The following is a 17,439-nucleotide window of genomic DNA, read 5'->3' on the forward strand; positions in this document are numbered from 1 at the left end:
TCTGGCGTGGCGTTGGCATCACATGGCAGACAGCAGACCCCCTTACCTTAGGTGTTCCCTCAACTCAACCAATTGCAAACTAAAGAATCCTCAACCGACTATGACTTGCAAGCCCCAGCTTCCAGATGTCCTGCCTTTTCAGGTCAAACGAATGTGTACCCCCTCCCCATGTACTGATTTATGATTTTACCTGCAATTCTTGTCACTCTGAAATGTCCAAATTGTAGGGTCAGGTGTGGTGGCTCACGCCTGTAAACCCAGCACTTTGGGAAGCTGGGGTCAGGAGTTCAAGACCAGCCTGACCAACATGGAGAAACCCCGTCTCTACAGAAAATACAAAATTAGCCAGGCGTGGTGGCACACGCCTGTAATCCCAGCTACTTGGGAGGCTGAGGCAGGAGAATGGCTAGAACCCAGAAGGTGGAGGTTGTGGTGAGCCGAGATGGCGCCGTTGCACTCCAGACTGGGCAACAAGAGTGAAACGCCGTCTAAAAATAAAAAATAAAACTGTAACCCAGTGGCCTCAGGACCACTTTCCCAGGACCTCTTGAGGCTGTGTTTCCCAAGCCTCCATGGCTCACTTGCATAGACTCAGGATAAACCTCTAAATACTTTGGCAGAGCTTGCTTTTTCCATCGTCAGTAGCAAAAGTAACGTGGAACACGGGACATGCTTAGTGAGAAAAAGCCATATCATTATCCAATTTAAGTCTTCCTTCCATCTTATTTCGGACATTTTGCTACCCACAGGACTCTTTCCTCAAAGAAAACTTTATACGAAAGCTCAACCTATAAATAGACAAAAGCACAGCTAGTCCTTTTTAAGTCAGATTTGGGAAGTCCAGGCCCCTGAGTCCTCCCCTGCGGCCCCTTGAGACACCTGGGTGGGGTCCCAGCACTCTGAGGAGCCTACTCGGAGGCCATGGCCATGCTCATAGGAGCGCGAGGGCTCCCAACCTCAACCTCTGGCTCTGGCTGGGGCCAAGGGCCGGGGAAATGCAGCTAGCACTGGCAGAAGGGACTGTAGCTGCCCGTGGGACAAGAGGGCTTAAAAAGCTGCCTAAAGAGTGCTCATGGAAGGCTGAGCTCTGAGTGAGACCCAAAATCTGTGGATGAGGCGGCTGTTCCCAACAGCACTGGGAACTTAAAGAAAGAGAATGAGGAACCTGAAGTCCTAAATCTGGCTCAAGATGCAGCCTGAGACTGGGACTTCCTGTCCTGTAGCTAAAGGACCTTCTGCTCTTGCCGATATGGCTGACAGAGCCAGAGCCAACGCCGAGTGTGATCCCCCAGGATGCTCTGTGCAGATCAGCCGAGCTCCACCCCGGCAGGAGCTCAGTGTGAAAGTCAGAGCGTCGGCCTAGAGCTGGGGGAGAGGAGTGGAGGACCCGGGAGTCTCCTGAACCCCAGCCTGCCTTCGGCCAAGGCATCCGCATCTGACGAGGCTGCACCCGCCCTGTCTGAGGACCCTGCGCCCACTCCACCTCCGAGACAGGTCAGGAAGAAGCTGGTCGCACCCAAGACCCTGCCAGCTCCCCGCTACCCAGGCCTCCAGCTTACTTCTAACTGCAGTCAGAACGTCATGCCCCAGGGCACAAAGCATATTCAAACCTGAAAGGAGGAGGCTACCTGGCAAAAGATTCACAAGAGTTTGCTATTTTACATCAGCAAACATCTGGTGAATATGAGTGGAGCTAGGGAGGGCATCGTTTTGGATTGAGCTCAATGTGTTGGTCTGGACGCCCTCAGTGGAGATTTCATATTTGAAGGGATAGCTCTAGCAGCTGGCAGGAGCTCGAACAATTTGCTTAGCTTGGTGACAAAAACCTGGAATTCACAGTGGCCACGTGGAGCCGAGAGGCGCAGCTGATAAGGAAAGAGGACTTAAGCTAGGTGCAGTGCACAGAGGCCCCCTGGCTGGGGACGGAGGCCCAGCCAACGTCTCTGCAGCAGTCCTTGGGCCGGGGCCAGTTCACAGACCCTGCTGTCCTCCCGGCCTCCTGCACGGGGCTGCTGCCATTTGTCAGAGGAGCCAGCAACTGAGAAAGGAAAGTGCCCTGATCTCTCGGGGGAGTCTGGCACGGGCTCCAGGCCATCACTGCTTTTTCTGGGCACCCTGGCTGCCCAGGGATTTTGCAGTGTGGTGGGGGCATATGAGGGTGAGGTGACTGAGTTGTGGCCCAGTTCTGCCCTCAAGCTCAGTGGGAATAGAACCTCCCCCTTGGTGACTTTCCCAATCCCGAGGTGCAGTGGCTACACCCACAGCATGCAGGCTCATCTTAAAGGCTCTCCCACCTTGGAGGAAGGATCTGCAGGACGTAACCACTAGTGAGGCCACACTCGGCGGTCCAACCATCAGCACCACGACCAGGGACGTGAGAGGCACAGGGCCCATTCCCTCGCTCCCAACTCACCACCTGGCTGGTGAATGGTAAGCGGGACCTGAGGAATAACAGCAACCATCAGATGCTCAGGTGGCAATTTACCCACAGGTCTACGCTGGCTCTTGGAACACAGGGCTAGTGATCGGGAAAATATGTTTTTCTCCCTGCCAATAAGCAGAAAACACACAAATGGGTTCCCTCGTCTGCCAGGGATGCAGCACTCCCTTCCTGTCTTGCTCCAGGGCTTCTCTGGCCAGCTCTGTGCCTCGGTTTAGACTGAGGGGCCTCAATGGTCTCACGTGGCCCCGGCACCAACAGCCCTGAGCCCTGGGAGAGCCGAAAGCTGCTGAAACTTCAGATGTCCTAGTGCAAACTCACCTCCAAAAGCGGAGCTGGAGAAATGTGGGACCCACCACTCAGTGCATTCCCAGGGCCCAGTGGTCGGGGCCAGGGTGGGTTTCGCCCATGAAACTGAAGGACCAGTGCACCCACCAAGATGGAGCTCAGCTCCTTATGCAGGAAAGACACCTGCATTTGGCTCTGCTGTCCCCACAGAGTCAGCAGTGGTTCAAGGGCTGCAGCAGGAATGGTGCTGCCCTGCCCTGGCCCGGTGGACCCAATGGTATCCGCCAGCTGTGCCAGAACAAGTCCTGGACAGAGCCTGTGGCAGCCCTGGGAGGAGGAGAGCCACACAGACCCTGGGGTCTGAGCAAGGTATGGCCCCTCGCAAGAAGCTCTTCGCAGCAGTCAAGGAGCTGGCAGGGCCACGTTTCCTCCGGAGACTCAAGGGGAAAGTCCCTCCTGGCCAGGGGCTCCCAGGGCTCCCCACCTTCCTGGGCTTGTGGCCACATCACTCCGGTCTCTCCTCTGTCTCCACACTTCACATCTCCCTGCTTTCTTTTGTAAGGACATCTGTTACCCTAACTCCAGATGATGTCTTCCCAAGATTCTTAATTACATCTGCAAATACCATTTGCCCAAACAAAGGCACATTCATGCATTCAGGTGATACGGTTTGGCTGTGTCCCCACCCAAATCTCACCTTGAATGGCAGCTCCTATAATCCCCATGTGTCGTGGGAGGGACCCGGTGGGAGGTAACTGAATCATGGGGGCAGGTTTTCACATGCTGTTCTCGTGTTAGTGAATAAGTCTCAGGAGAACTGATGGTTTTACAAAGGGCAGTTCCCCTGCACACACTCTCTTGCCTGCCACCATGTAAGACTAGCCTCTTTCATCTTCCACCATGATTATGAGGCCTCCCCGGCCATGTGGAGCTGTGAAAGAGCCATTAAACCTCTTTTTCTTTACAAATTACCCAGTCTCGGGTAGGTCTTTATTAGCACCATGAGAACAGACTAATACGTGGCCACTGGGGCTTGGATATGTCTTTTCAGGGGACTGTTTGACCCACATCACGACTCTTTCCACGAAACAGCTTCTGACTGGTTAGCAGCCCAGATGGTGAGCATGTGCCTGGCACTGGGCTCCAAGGGGTCGTGCCACTGGACAGCCCACCACGAACAGGTGTTTTCTGATCCATGGAGTCTTGCAGTAAAGGTGGCCACCACAGTCCACTTCCCCGGGGAGGGGGAGAGACAGGAGTGGCCCTAGGGTCCTCTGCACCTACGCCCTCCCTCTCAACCTATGAACTCCAAGGAACCTTTCAACAAACTCCTCTTCTGCTCCAACCAGCCAGAGTCCATTGCAGTTCCCCACAGTTGGGGTCCCTGTCTGATACAGCAGAGAAGGTGAAGCCTCCGACACAGGGGCAGAGATGACAGGAAGTGTGTCCAGAACACAGGGGTGCAGAAGCCCCATCCTGCTCTGTGATTTGACAGGAAGTGTGTCCAGGACACTGGGGTGTGGAAGCCCCATCCTGCTCTGTGATTTGACAGGAAGTGTGTCCGGGACACTGGGGTGCAGAAGCCCCACCCCGCTCTGTGATTTGACAGTAAGTGTGTCCAGGACACAGGGGTGCGGAAGCCCCATCCCGCTCTGTGATTTGACAGGAAGTGTGTCCGGGACACTGGGGTGCGGAAGCCCCATCCTTCTCTGTGATTTGACAGGAAGTGTGTCCAGGACACAGGGGTGCGGAAGCCCCATCCTTCTCTGTGATTTCACAGGAAGTGTGTCCGGGACACTGGGGTGCGGAAGCCCCATCCTTCTCTGTGATTTGACAGGAAGTGTGTCCAGGACACAGGGGTGCGGAAGCCCCATCCCTCTCTGTGATTTGACAGGAAGTGTGTCCGGGACACTGGGGTGCGGAAGCCCCATCCTTCTCTGTGATTTGACAGGAAGTGTGTCCAGGACACTGGGGTGCGGAAGCCCCATCCTTCTCTGTGATTTGACAGGAAGTGTGTCCAGTACACAGGGGTGCGGAAGCCCCATCCCGCTCTGTGATTTGACAGGAAGTGTGTCCGGGACACAGGGGTGCGGAAGCCCCATCCCGCTCTGTGATTTGACAGGAAGTGTGTCCGGGACACTGGGGTGCGGAAGCCCCATCCTTCTCTGTGATTTGACAGGAAGTGTGTCCAGGACACAGGGGTGCGGAAGCCCCATCCTTCTCTGTGATTTGACAGGAAGTGTGTCCAGGACACTGGGGTGGGGAAGCCCCATCCTTCTCTGTGATTTGACAGGAAGTGTGTCCGGGACACTGGGGTGCGGAAGCCCCATCCTTCTCTGTGATTTGACAGGAAGTGTGTCCGGGACACTGGGGTGCGGAAGCCCCATCCTTCTCTGTGATTTGACAGGAAGTGTGTCCGGGACACAGGGGTGCGGAAGCCCCATCCTTCTCTGTGATTTGACAGGAAGTGTGTCCGGGACACTGGGGTGGGGAAGCCCCATCCTTCTCTGTGATTTGACAGGAAGTGTGTCCGGGACAATGGGGTGCGGAAGCCCCATCCTTCTCTGTGATTTGACAGGAAGTGTGTCCGGGACACAGGGGTGCGGAAGCCCCATCCTTCTCTGTGATTTGACAGGAAGTGTGTCCGGGACACTGGGGTGCGGAAGCCCCATCCCGCTCTGTGATTTGACAGGAAGTGTGTCTGGGACACAGGGGTGCGGCAGCCCCATCCCGCTCTGTGATTTGACAGGAAGTGTGTCCTGGACACTGGGGTGCGGAAGCCCCATCCCGCTCTGTGATTTGACAGGAAGTGTGTCCGGGACACAGGGGTGCGGAAGCCCCATCCCGCTCTCTGATTTGACAGGAAGTGTGTCCGGGACACTGGAGCGTGGAAGCCCCATCCTTCTCTGTGATTTGACAGGAAGTGTGTCCGGGACACAGGCGTGCGGAAGCCCCATCCTTCTCTGTGATTTGACAGGAAGTGTGTCCAGGACACTGGGGTGCGGAAGCCCCATCCTTCTCTGTGATTTGACAGGAAGTGTGTCCAGGACACAGGGGTGCAGAAGCCCCATCCTTCTCTGTGATTTGACAGGAAGTGTGTCCAGGACACAGGGATGCGGAAGCCCCATCCCGCTCTGTGATTTGACAGGAAGTGTGTCCAGGACACAGGGGTGCGGAAGCCCCATCCCGCTCTGTGATTTGACAGTAAGTGTGTCCAGGACACTGGGGTGTGGAAGCCCCATCCCGCTGTGTGATTTGACAGGAAGTGTGTCCAGTACACAGGGGTGCGGAAGCCGCATCCTTCTCTTTGATTTGACAGGAAGTGTGTCCAGGACACTGGGGTGTGGAAGCCCCACCCCGCTCTGTGATTTGACAGGAAGTGTGTCCAGGACACAGGGGTGCGGAAGCCCCATCCGGCTCTGTGATTTGACAGGAAGTGTGTCCAGGACACAGGGGTGGGGAAGCCCCATCCTTCTCTGTGATTTGTCAGGAAGTGTGTCCAGGACACAGGGGTGCGGAAGCCCCATCCCGCTCTGTGATTTGACAGGAAGTGTGTTCGGGACACTGGGGTGCAGAAGCCCCATCCCGCTCTGTGATTTGACAGGAAGTGTGTCCGGGACACTGGGGTACGGAAGCCCCATCCCGCTCTGTGTGATTTGCCTCCCGGCACCTCTCCCTGTGAGGTCCCACCCCACACTGCTGTGTGAGCTCAAGAGGGGCTTACAGCCTGGGCTTCTGCAGCCAGAGACTCTGGCTGGGACATGAGGGCTGCGTCCTGGGGCTAAACACAGAGCTTCATAAGTCAGGCTGGAGAAGAGGAGCGGGTCTGGGCAGGTGGGGAGAGGAGGCTCAGGCTGAGCCCCACGCAGTGGGGACGAACGGGAGACTGCTGGTGGCCACTGCCATTCCTGGAGGGCTGGGTGAGGCTGGGGGCTAGGGCTCTCCATCCACCCTCCACCCAAGCCCACTCACAAACAGGAGCTCAGGTGGCCCTGCCACCCCTGCTGGGCCCTCACCTCTGCTCCTTACTTCCCCCTCCGGGGGCCCATGCTAAAGTGCGCAGGACAGTGCAGTATACAGGAGCTTTTGATCCTCAAGTGGAGCAGCCCTGGCTTTGACTCCCAGACCCCTGTTTCCTCCGGGTCGTTGTGAGCCAGAATAGAACAGGCATCAGATGAGGGCTGTGGGCAGTCAGAAGGGGTGTCCTGTGGCACAGGGGCAGCATCTCACCCAGGCTGGGGGTACAAGGGGCTGATGTGCACACTCCTGTCCTGGGCCCCCAGGCTGGCTCTGGAGTGCGGCTGCCGGGGATCGCAGGCTGGCTCTGGAGTGCGGCTGCCCAGGACCAACTGTGTCTCCCTGGAGTGTGGCTGCCTGGGACCAACTGTGTCTCCCTGGAGTGTGGCTGCCCGGGACCCACTGTGTCTCCCTGGAAGGCTGAGGCTCTGAGGTTGGGTACCATTTCCAGCAGGTGGCTGGATATCATCAGGGTATCCCACCCTGGGGCTCACTGCATCCTGGCCCTCGAGCTTGGGGCCTCTCCTCACCCACCTCACACCCCAAATCCAGTTGGATCCAAAGGACCAACTGTGAGAAAGCCATTGCGGTGGCCCGGGAGGCCCTGCGTCCCCATAGTCACTAGAGCCACCTCGACACTTGGTGCAGGTGGTCAGCTGCCCATCACCACCTGCGGGCAGAGGGAGGCCCCACCCAAGACCACCTCCCGTGGCCTCCTCCCTCCCCTCCTCCTTGCTTCCCCCACCTAACCTCCTATCCTCTCCCCTGCCCCTCCAGTGGGGCCACTGTGGAAAACACTGGAAGTTCTGCCTCCATGCCTGCCAGGAGTCTGAGTGGGACATCCCAGTGACGTGGTCCTGATGTGCAGAGGCTGCCAGGAGGCCCTGTGCCACCCCCAAGGCTGGGGGCCCACGCCATAGCCTGGGGGGGCTCCTGCCTGCCCTGGGCTGCACCTCTCTGGCTTCTCTGGTAGCTGCTCTCCCTCCACACACCCTCTCCCCGCCGCTGTGGGTGAGTGCCTGCCGCTCACCCACCCACACACAGATCCCACCCTGAGCTCAGCCATCAAGTTCCTGCCTTCCAGGGACTGCAGGGCCCCAGGCCTCTCATTCGCAGGCCTCTGCTGGGTGGCAGGGCCCAGGGGTCGGCTTGAGCAGAAGACATGGCCCTGCAGATCAGTGGCCAAACGTGGACCTTGACAGAAGGCGAGCCCAGCGGGCAGTCTCCATATGAACACACAGCAGCAGGCGCAGATCCTGCCTTCTCCTGTTCCTGCAGAAAGCAACGTGCTGGGACACTCAGTCCTCGGCTTCCTCCGCTTCCTGTTTTTCTGATCAGGATGTAAAGAGCTTCTTCACTGTCATACAGCTGCAAAGTATCCCTGCATCGTTATTTTTAGTCTCTTTCAATATTGTGAAATTGCTACATTGTTTTTAACATTTTAACAATCTCACTGTGAAGGAGATTGATTTCTAAACGGATAAAATAAATGATAGGAACAATGTATTCCTTGCTCTTGCATTTTTCCAAGAGGGGGACCCAGTACGGCCATAGGGGGATGTTAAAGCCAAGCCTTGAATCCCTCCGAGGGCACCGAGCTAGGGGTGGGTACAGGAGTGCCGCTGTGGAGAAAGGTCTCTGGAGAGGATGGTGCCTGGGCCCTGCCTCTAGAAATCGAAGATGGATAGTGGCAGGAGGCAGCGGGGGTGGGAGCTTGAAGGACCATCTGAAGCTCTGCTAAGCGGAGCTAGACAGAGATCAGTCACCCTCACAAGTGGGGGACAAGAGGGACCCCCTTGGAAGAGCAAGGGAAAGGAGACTCTCCAGGGTTATGGTGGTGGGGCTGAGGGTGTCTAAGGACTAGGAAATGGAGCATAGAGGGTTCCAGGTGCAGAGCAGCATGGAGGGGAGCTGGGAGGCCAGGGAGGGTACCTGAGTGAACCACACGTGAACGAGTTAATGAACGAGCTTCTGGAACCAGGATGTGTTTCCCTCGTGGGTTCTAGGGGTGCCTGGGAGCTGCAGGACCCGTGGGAGCTGCTCCCCCTGGCCGGCCCGCCCACCCACAGCTACCTCTGAGTGCTGGATCCCAGGAAAGAAAAAGGGCTTGTACCTCAGTGCACATGGTGGGCAGCCTGCTCAGCCTGGCACTGTGGGGTCATCAGAATCAGAGAGAGCCGGGCACAGCGACTCACTCCTGTAATCCCAGCACTTTGGGAGGCCGAGGCGGGTGGATCACCTGAGGTCAGGAGTTCAAGACCAGCCTGGCCAACATGGTGAAACCCTGTCTCTACTAAAAATACAAAAATTAGCTGGGCGTGGTGGTGCGAGCCTGTAATCCCAGCTACTCAGGAAGCTGAAGCAGGAGAATCGCTGGAACCCCGGAGGCGAACATTACAGTGAGCCAAGATCCTGCCATTGCACTCCAGCCTGGGCGACAGAGTGAGACTCTGTCTCAACAAAAGAAATAAATAAATAAAAATAAGCGGAGAGTAACCCCAGGGGAGGAGAGTCTGGACTCTGCTCTAAAAACAAGCCCCTCCCTCTGCCAGACTCAGGTTCAGTGAGACAAGAGAAGGTTGGCTGCAGAGAGGGCAGGAAGGAGCTCAGAGCAGGGAAAGTGTTGCAAGGGCCAGCACATCTGCAGTCTGCATCTGCCCCAAAAGGCCCTACTCTCCCGGTATGGACACCCTACACTTGCCCCTCAGTCAGAAACACTTGCCCACCCTTCCTTATAGAAAAACTCTGCTCACCCCTCAGGCCCAGCCCCAAGGTGCCCTCCTCCCAACGCCTCCCTCATTCCAAACCCAATCTCACGGCAGGCTGCCTCCCAGAGATGGCAGTGCACAGGTCTGGATCTGACTCGAGCTGGTGTCAACACGGGGGAGGGCGTACAGAGTAGGACGCGCAGGCCCAGGACAGGGCCACACAGCCCCCCAGGACAGCAGAGCCCATGGCCCCACCTGGGCATGATGCCAGCATGGACCCTGCCTGCCGAGCCCCGCCCCCACATGTCACCTAGGCAGGATGGAGTGTGGATGGCCAGGCATCCCCTGTCCACAACCAGCACCAAGCTCTGAGCCCAAGGCTGCCGCTGCCAAAAAGAGCCACGTGAGTCATGCAGGCCCCACCGTGAGAGGAGGCCCAGAGAACCGCTGTGTCAGAAGGGCCAGCCCCACGAGCCAGCAGAGCAGGCAAGTCCAGGCCCCAAGGCACAGAGGTCTGTGGGCAGGGAGCGGGGGTGGCCGGGCTGCCCTTCAACGGTGCCCTGGGGTGTGCGCATGGCTCAGGGAGGAAGCCTGGGCCTGGAAAGGCGGTTGAGCCCAGGGGCGCAGGTGCAGGCTCGAAAATGACCCATGCAGCTGCCATCAGGACCACCAGACCTTAGCCCTGGCCCTGGGGGACCACAGCCCTGCCCTGAAGGTCTTAGGCATCATATCTTCACCCTGGAGTGTCTGAGAGGTCATGACCTTGCCCTGGGGGCTTGAGGGAGGCTGCGTGGTGCCTGGGTGGGATGAGGGGGTGGGCTCCACATACAGAGCCCACCACGCCTACCTGCCGGCTGTAGGCAGTGCTGGGGAACCAGGTGTCTGCCACTGCGGGTCCCCTTTCACACCTGCGCACCATCCCAGGTGGCACCTTCTGTAGGGGCTGGACCAGACCCACTAGCCTTTCCGGGGCGGGACAGAGGGAACAGCCTCTCAGTGGCGAGCACTAAATTTAATTCAATCTGCGAATCAAATGTGCTCTGATTGTCCCTAGGTGATTCTCGCAATAAGCACTTGCCTGGGCTGGGCAGTTTGCACCTGGGCTGAAGAGGAGCTGGGCCCAGAGGGAGGCAACGTGCAAGGGCCTGGGCCCCTGTGGAGGGGAGGCGGCAGGTGGAGGCCCCTTGAGAATCCCAGTAGCGCCCTTCCTAGGAGCAGCTCCTGCAGCACTAGATTCAAGGGCCTGTAGCGGTAGCCGGGGCGGGGCGCGGGGGAGGTAGGGCAGCAGGAAAGCGGGGCACCAGGGAAGAGGGGCGACAGGGAGGCGGGGCGTGGGGGAGGAGGGGTGAAGATGACGGGAGGCGGTGCACGGGGGAGGCGGGGCACAGGAGAGGCGGGTCGACAGGGAGGTGGGACGCTGGGGAGAAGGGGCGAATGGGGGCGGGGCGATGGGGAGGCGGGGCGACGGGAAGTAGGGGCAGTGGGGGAGGCGGGGCATGGGGTAGACAGGTGTGGGGGAGGCGGGGCACCAGGGAAGCGGGGCGTGGGGGGAGGCGGGGCGTGAGAGAGGCGGGGCAGTGGGGGAGGCGGGGCGTGGGGGGAGGCGGGGCAGTGGGGGAGGCGGGGCAGTGGGGGAGGCGGGGCGTGGGGGGAGGCGGGGCAGTGGGGGAGGCGGGGCAGTGGGGGAGGCGGGGCAGTGGGGGAGGCGGGGCGTGGGGGAGGCGGGCCGAGGGCGAGAGGGCGCAGGGAGGCGGGTGGGGGTGGGGCCACGCGCGGAGGGGCAGGGAAGGGCGGGGCGGGGCGGGGCGGGACGGGGCTGGGGGGGACAGGCATCAGGTATGAAGAGTTTGGGGCTGGCGGGGCGTGTCCGGCTGTGGCGTGGGCACCACTATGGGAGACCCTGGCTTGGCAAGTGACCTTGCAGCCTTGGCTGGGGAAGGGCTAGATGCTGGGTGGGTGCCGGTAGAGTGGAAAGAATGACAGGTTCAGGTGAATTAAGGAAGGATGGTTGACTCGGTGGCTGGGACATTAGAGACAGGTATTCCCAGCCTCAGGCGCTGTCCTAAGCCCAGCAGGTACTGACCCTTGATGGTCACCTCACCCTATGAGGGAGCTGAGGCCTGGGGAACCCAAGGGGCTAGTCCAGAACCCACAGCCGGGGGAAGGAGGAACCGGGTCTTAAACCCAGGTAGCTCACTCCAGAACCAACTCAACCTCTGTTACAGGTGGCCGGCCAGAAAATGCCCCACCCCACCCATTGACAGTCGGGGAAACTGAGGCCTCAGTAGGTGAAGTGCCTGGCCCAAGCACCAAGGCACACAGAGACGCTCAGGCTTGACCCTGGCTCCGGACGTCCAGCCCCTGCCGCTGCCCCACCCCTCTGCTGCCCTTGGGAGAGGGGCAGCTCAGAGCCTCGACTCTGCACTCTGCATCAGCACCCCCCAAGGGCTTGGGTGGGGTCTTGAGAGGAGGGGGTGGCCTCAGGGAGCGACCTGGGCTTTCCAAGCCTCTCCCAGAGCAGCCCGTCTCTCACACAAGGCCAGAAGGCAGGTGGGTGCTGATGGCTTTCCCAGCAAGAGACCGAGGGGGCGGGCCCCCAAGAGCTCCAGAAAGCTCTCCACCGGACACCAGCAGGAACAGCACTGCAGATGGAGCAGCAGGGGCAAAGACCCGAGGTGATAGTGAGGGGCAGCCGGGAGGCCTTGGGCCTAGCAGTGCATTGCTGAGTGTGGGTGAGGAGGAGGTGAGCACGCAGCCTTAGCTTGAGGGCATTGACTGTGTTTTTACTTAAATGCTCTTAAAGGGGCCTGGGTGTGATGCTGACTCTAGGATGACGATGCTTGGCCAGTGACCAGCAAATAGAGGGTCTGTGACCCCAAGGTCCTGTGACTATGGAGCCCAGACATGGGGTTGAGGGGTGTCAGGCATGGCCCATTCCGGGGCGAGGCTCCCTGCCCTGCACTGCAGGGCTGAGGCACTGAGCGGCAAGCCAGGCGAGGGCCAGCACCACCTTCCACCTGCCGTGGCACGGGTGCACAGGACGTTCCAAGGCCAACCACAATGACTTCTCCTTCCCCTCTGGCCCCAGATGTCCTGGAGGGAAACAACAGTCCCTGGCCTGGCGCCTGGAGCTGGGGACCAGTGTGAGGCCCATTGTTTGAGGCTGGAGCTGGTGGGGGCCACTAGGAAGCCCACGGCAATGCCCTTCATCCCACTTACCGCAGCTCCAGAGCCCTGCGGGAGGACTCAGAGTCAGGGACACAGCAGCGTCCGGCGAGATGAAGGCGCTCGGGGCTGTCCTGCTTGCCCTCTTGCTGTTCGGGCGGCCAGGTGCGGGGCAAAGGGTAACCCTGCGGTGAGGGGGCAGCAACAGCAGTCCTGGAGCACAGGGACCTCCAGGGACCCCCAGCAGGGGCTTAGGAAGAAGGAGGGGATGAGGCTGGAGTCCCCAGCCCAGAGCAGCATGGATGGAAGCTGGCCTGGGTCCCCGAGAGTCCCCAAATATCTGCGCCCCTGTTTATGTGGGGTGCGGGGAGGGGCTACCATAAAGGGCCAGCCCACAGCAGCTGCTGTTGTAACTACAATGCCAGGGCACACTCGGCTGCAGGACAGTGAGTAGGGTGAGTAGGGTAGTAGGACAGTGAGTAGGGTGAGTAGGCTGCAGGACAGTGAGTAGGGTGAGTAGGGTGTTCAGGGTAGGGGCCCTCCCCAGCCACCCTGGGGCCCGAGGATGGCTGGGGAGGGCCAAGGAGTTGGGGGCACGATGCTTGCCCAGAGCAGGTGTCCTCCATACCCGGGTAGCTGAGGCTTACAAGCATCCCTGCACGGCCAGGGAGAGGGCAGACACAGCAGGAGGAAGAGGAAGAGGACGAGGACCACGGGCCAGATGACTACGACGAGGAAGATGAGGATGAGGTGGAAGAGGAGGAGACCAACAGGCTCCCTGGTGGCAGGAGCAGAGGTATGGCCGCCCCAACCCCAGAGCCCTGCTGCCTGATCTGCCTGGAGCATTCTGGGCGGGGCTGTGTGATGGAAGCCAGCAGGCCACAGTCCTGCTGTGAGCTTGCCTCCAGCAGAGTGGGGGACACTCAGTACACCCCTCACTGCTGCTCACCATGACACTCAGTTGCCTTCCAGAGTAGGGAACAGGGGAAGAAGCCACCAGCTGGGAGGGTCAGTGGTGCCAGGATGTAGAGGTTAAATAGGAGTTCACCAGGCAGAGAAGGGCTCAGTGGGGGCCTAGGGTGGAGACACAAGCACAGAGGCCCCAGGGTAGGGTTCAGTTTTGTGGGGCAGAGAGAGCAGCAGGGTGGGCCGGTCCTGTACAGGGGAGGGCTGGATTGGCTGCTGCGGGCTGGGGAGCCAGGGAACCGCTTAGAGCAGAGCAGAGTAGGGCTAAGAAGAGCCCACCCTCACTGCCCACCTGACACACCCCTACACGTGGGCCACCCTCTGCTCTCTCCCATCCCGAGAAAAGCAGAGCAAATCGCCGCATCCAACCCGAGGGCCGGCCCCTCCCTAGCCAGGGACCACAGCGTGCCCCACCACACACAGCCCCTCCCTAGCCAGGGCCCCCAGCATGCCCCACCACACACAGCCCACCCCCCTCCCAGGAGCCCCAAGCCTGCCCTCAGCACGAGCCCTGCCCCACACACCCACGAGGTGTCCCCTGTGAGGCCCTCCTCTGCCAGGCCTGGTGCTCCTGGAGGCAGGACTGAGTCAGACCCACCTCCAGGTTTCTGTGACCACGGCAGGAGCCTGGGCAGCATTGTCGCAGGACGTGAGTGATGATGGGAAGTTCGCCCTGCCTGACCCGCAATCCCTTGCCCCCTAAACACACAGGCTCACGCACACAGCACAGCTTACAGGACCAAGTCAGGGGTCGCCCGCCCATCTGAGCAGTGGGTGCTGGAGGCTCACCAGGCTAGGCTTTGGGAGCACAGCTGAGAACGGGGAGGTGGACAGGGACGTGGGAGGAGACCCTGGGGGGCCCGGCCTCGGCCTGAGCCCGCCTTGTCCCCAGTGCTGCTGCGGTGCTACACCTGCAAGTCCCTGCCCAGGGACGAGCGCTGCAACCTGACGCAGAACTGCTCACATGGCCAGACCTGCACAACCCTCATTGCCCACGGGAACACCGGTAAGTGGGCGTGGGGCCGCAGCACATGCACCCCCAGGCGGCGGGAAAGCCAGGGGCCCGGAACAGAGCCCTGCAGAGCCACCTCAGAGACCCCGCCCATCCTCAGCACTTGTTCCCCACTCCCCTTCCCAGAGTCAGGCCTCCTGACCACCCACTCCACGTGGTGCACAGACAGCTGCCAGCCCATCACCAAGACGGTGGAGGGGACCCAGGTGACCATGACCTGCTGCCAGTCCAGCCTGTGCAATGTCCCACCCTGGCAAAGCTCCCGAGTCCAGGACCCAACAGGCAAGGGGGCAGGCGGCCCCCGGGGCAGCTCCGAAACTGTGGGCGCAGCCCTCCTGCTCAACCTCCTTGCCGGCCTTGGAGCAATGGGGGCCAGGAGACCCTGACCCACGGCCCCTCCCCACCCCCACCCGGCTCACCCCCGGCCCTGCCAGCACTCTGTCTGGTACCTTCCCCTCCTGCCCCTGCACCAGCTTTGGAGAATGGATTTGGAGTGTCTTGGGCGATCCAGCCAGCGCAGGCCCCCCGGCCCGGTTGCTTCCTCAGTTCCCGGCTGTGTCCTTGGTGTCCTTTCTCCACCACCTGTGAGCAGCAAGACTGCCGCACGTGGGCGCTGGGTCCAGACCTCGGCTGCCACGCCCCAGGACCTGCAGCCCTCATGGGGGCTGGGGATCCCCATCAGCACAGCCAGGCAGAGATGATACCCACCACACACCTGGGGGCCCCCACACCCAGTCCTCACCCTTAACTTCTGCCATGGGAATTCCTCCATCTGCAGCGGTCACACGGGCCCACCCTGCCCTTCCCCAGGTCGGCCTCTCCGCTGTCTGGAGGGAAGGGGATTTGGAGGGAGGCTGTCGTCGCCCCCAGGAAAGACGGGCCTGGGGGAGGCGGGACAGTGGGAGAGGCGCGCTGAGGATGAGAGGGCACAGGGAGGTGGGTTGGGGTGAGGCCACATGCGGAGGGGCGGGGCGGGGGGGGGCTGGGGGGACAGGCACCAAGTATGAAGAGGATGGGGCCAGCGGGGCCTGTCTGGCTATGGCGTGAGCACCGCTATGGGAGACCCTGGCTTGGAAAGTGAACTTGCAGCCTTGGATGGGGAAGGGCCAGATGCTGGGTGGGTGCCTGTCACCTTGAGGTGACCATCTAGGGTCAGTACCTGCTGGGCTTAGGACAGCGCCTGAGGCTGGGAATACCTGTCTCTGCTCTAGCAGAGGCTAAAGCAGGCTAGAGCAGTGGAGGGGTGGAGTTGATGAAAGGAGAGGAGTAGATGAGATGGAATTTTTCCAGCCTCATCCTGGCCTGCCCTCTAGACTCCAGTCCCCAAGCCCTCAGCCTAGTGGGTGTCATGGATGGATCTGGGGGTGTCAGACAGGCTACCCTGTGCCAGGGAGGGGGCAGAATGGGCCTGCAGCTTCCTGCAGAGGAAGCAGGACTGGGTAGCAGAGCCGGGAAGGTGGGTGGCCCATTACAGGGGGGTCCCCAGGGTGTCCTCTGGCAGGGCTGTGACTGCTGCAAGCTCTGCCTTCACCAGTAGCTGGTGCCAGGACAGAGCTCTGGGACAGCAGGCAGAGGCCGAGCCTGGGCCACAGCTCAGCCACTGACTTGGGTATCAGTTTCCCCTTCTGAGAAGTACAGAGTGAGACTTAAAGAACCCCTAGATCCCCACCAGTTCAACACTCCATTAACTGGGAAGCCCAGAGTCCTGTCCGGCCTGCCAAGTTCATCCTGGTGGACAGCGGGAGGCCTCCGCTAACTGTTCTCTTCTTTTCCTTATTAATAAAACACACAATGCCTAGCTGGGGGGTCGGAAGGCAAATGCCCTAGATGGTGGGGTCACGTCTTTCTCCTTCTCCTTCCTCCTTCTGCTGGCTGAAGTGATGACTGGAGCTCAGCAACCACTTTGCACCATGAGGCAGCACTGAGCACGGTAGGGCAGCCTGGTGAGAGGGGCCTAGCTCGCTGCCGACAGAAGTCACTGCCTACCTCAGGGTCCCCTTACCTGGGTGGGAAATAAATTTCTGCTGTGTTGAAGCTAGTTATTTGGGGTGTCTGTTACTTGCATTTTCACACTGACACATGCACATGTGTGCACACGAACACGCACGCCTACAGCCCCACTGGAGCACAGTGCAGGGGTCAGGCTGCCTGCTTCGAATCTAAGGCCCAGCCCTCCCCAGCTCCATGACCCTGGAAGCCCCTTCACCTCTCACTTGGCTCCGTCCAGCGGGAGTCCTAGGAGAGCCCTCCTTGTGGGCTACAGTGAGGATCCTCCAGAGTGCTGGAGCACCACGTGTCAGGGCTTACAGCCCCGTGCCTGGCAGAGAGCAAGTGCTCGACAAATGGGAGCTGTGGCCATCAGGACACTTCTCATGACCCCACTCTTCACTTGCCATCTGTATGTGTGAACATAGCACATGCCCCACCTGAGCCAGCCCCAGACCCTCATGATCCAAAGAAACCTCGTTAACCACACCCGACTTAGAAACACTGGGCGACGTAACCTGAGTTCGCCAAATGCTTCCTTCAAACTGATGCCTTAAAGCCCTGCACAGCTCTGAGTGGACAGACCCCCACCCCTCCCGGCCCACACCACCTCCTGGCGTGCAGTCTGAAGCCACTGGCTGTAGGGCCTGCCCCAGCCTTGGGGTCCTGTCTCTTCTCCCAGGGTCCTGGGCCCTGCCAGCAGCTGGGTCCCTCATCCTTGCCCCTGAGGAAGCAGAAAGCCCAGTCAGACTCTCCTGGGGCTCTCACCTGACCTGCCCAAAGGCACGGGAGCTGTGAGTGTCTCCGCAGCTATAGAAGCCAGAGAGGGGCCAATACAAGAACAGAGAAGCCCATCA

At 60.0% G+C, this 17,439-nt stretch overlaps 1 protein-coding gene across 2 annotated transcripts, besides 1 other annotated feature; it reads left to right on the top strand.

Annotated features, from left to right (window-relative positions):
- Positions 1,092–1,386: a silencer, noted in NCBI's record as "tiled region #5782; K562 Repressive DNase matched - State 20:ReprD". NCBI's record gives its function as "represses a minimal TATA promoter and a strong SV40 promoter by Sharpr-MPRA in K562 cells {active_cell/tissue: K562}" and the evidence as "EXISTENCE:reporter gene assay evidence [ECO:0000049][PMID:27701403]".
- Positions 12,682–16,634, top strand: GPIHBP1 (glycosylphosphatidylinositol anchored high density lipoprotein binding protein 1). 2 transcript variants are annotated; one of them, NM_001301772.2, is made up of 5 exons: positions 12,682–12,783; positions 13,286–13,414; positions 14,477–14,590; positions 14,723–14,802; positions 16,475–16,634. In NM_001301772.2, the coding sequence occupies exons 1-5, from the start codon at positions 12,732–12,734 to the stop codon at positions 16,475–16,477; spliced, it is 378 nt and encodes a 125-aa protein (NP_001288701.1). In that variant the 5' UTR covers positions 12,682–12,731; the 3' UTR covers positions 16,478–16,634. The 2 variants fall into 2 exon arrangements, with proteins under 2 accessions (NP_001288701.1, NP_835466.2); NM_178172.6 differs by having other exon boundaries at positions 14,723–16,634.

The sequence above is a fragment of the Homo sapiens genome, chromosome 8 (assembly GCF_000001405.40).
Source record: "Homo sapiens chromosome 8, GRCh38.p14 Primary Assembly".
In the NCBI taxonomy this organism is placed as follows: domain Eukaryota; kingdom Metazoa; phylum Chordata; class Mammalia; order Primates; family Hominidae; genus Homo; species Homo sapiens.

Bases quoted from the DNA above. Each gene is read 5' to 3' on its own strand.
- GPIHBP1 (NM_178172.6), top strand. From the start codon at position 12,732: ATGAAGGCGCTCGGGGCTGTCCTGCTTGCCCTCTTGCTGTTCGGGCGG. The intron at 12,784-13,285 runs GTGCGGGGCAAA...CTGCACGGCCAG, and splicing joins CTTGCTGTTCGGGCGGCCAG to GGAGAGGGCAGACACAGCAG. The intron at 13,415-14,476 runs GTATGGCCGCCC...CCTTGTCCCCAG, and splicing joins CCCTGGTGGCAGGAGCAGAG to TGCTGCTGCGGTGCTACACC.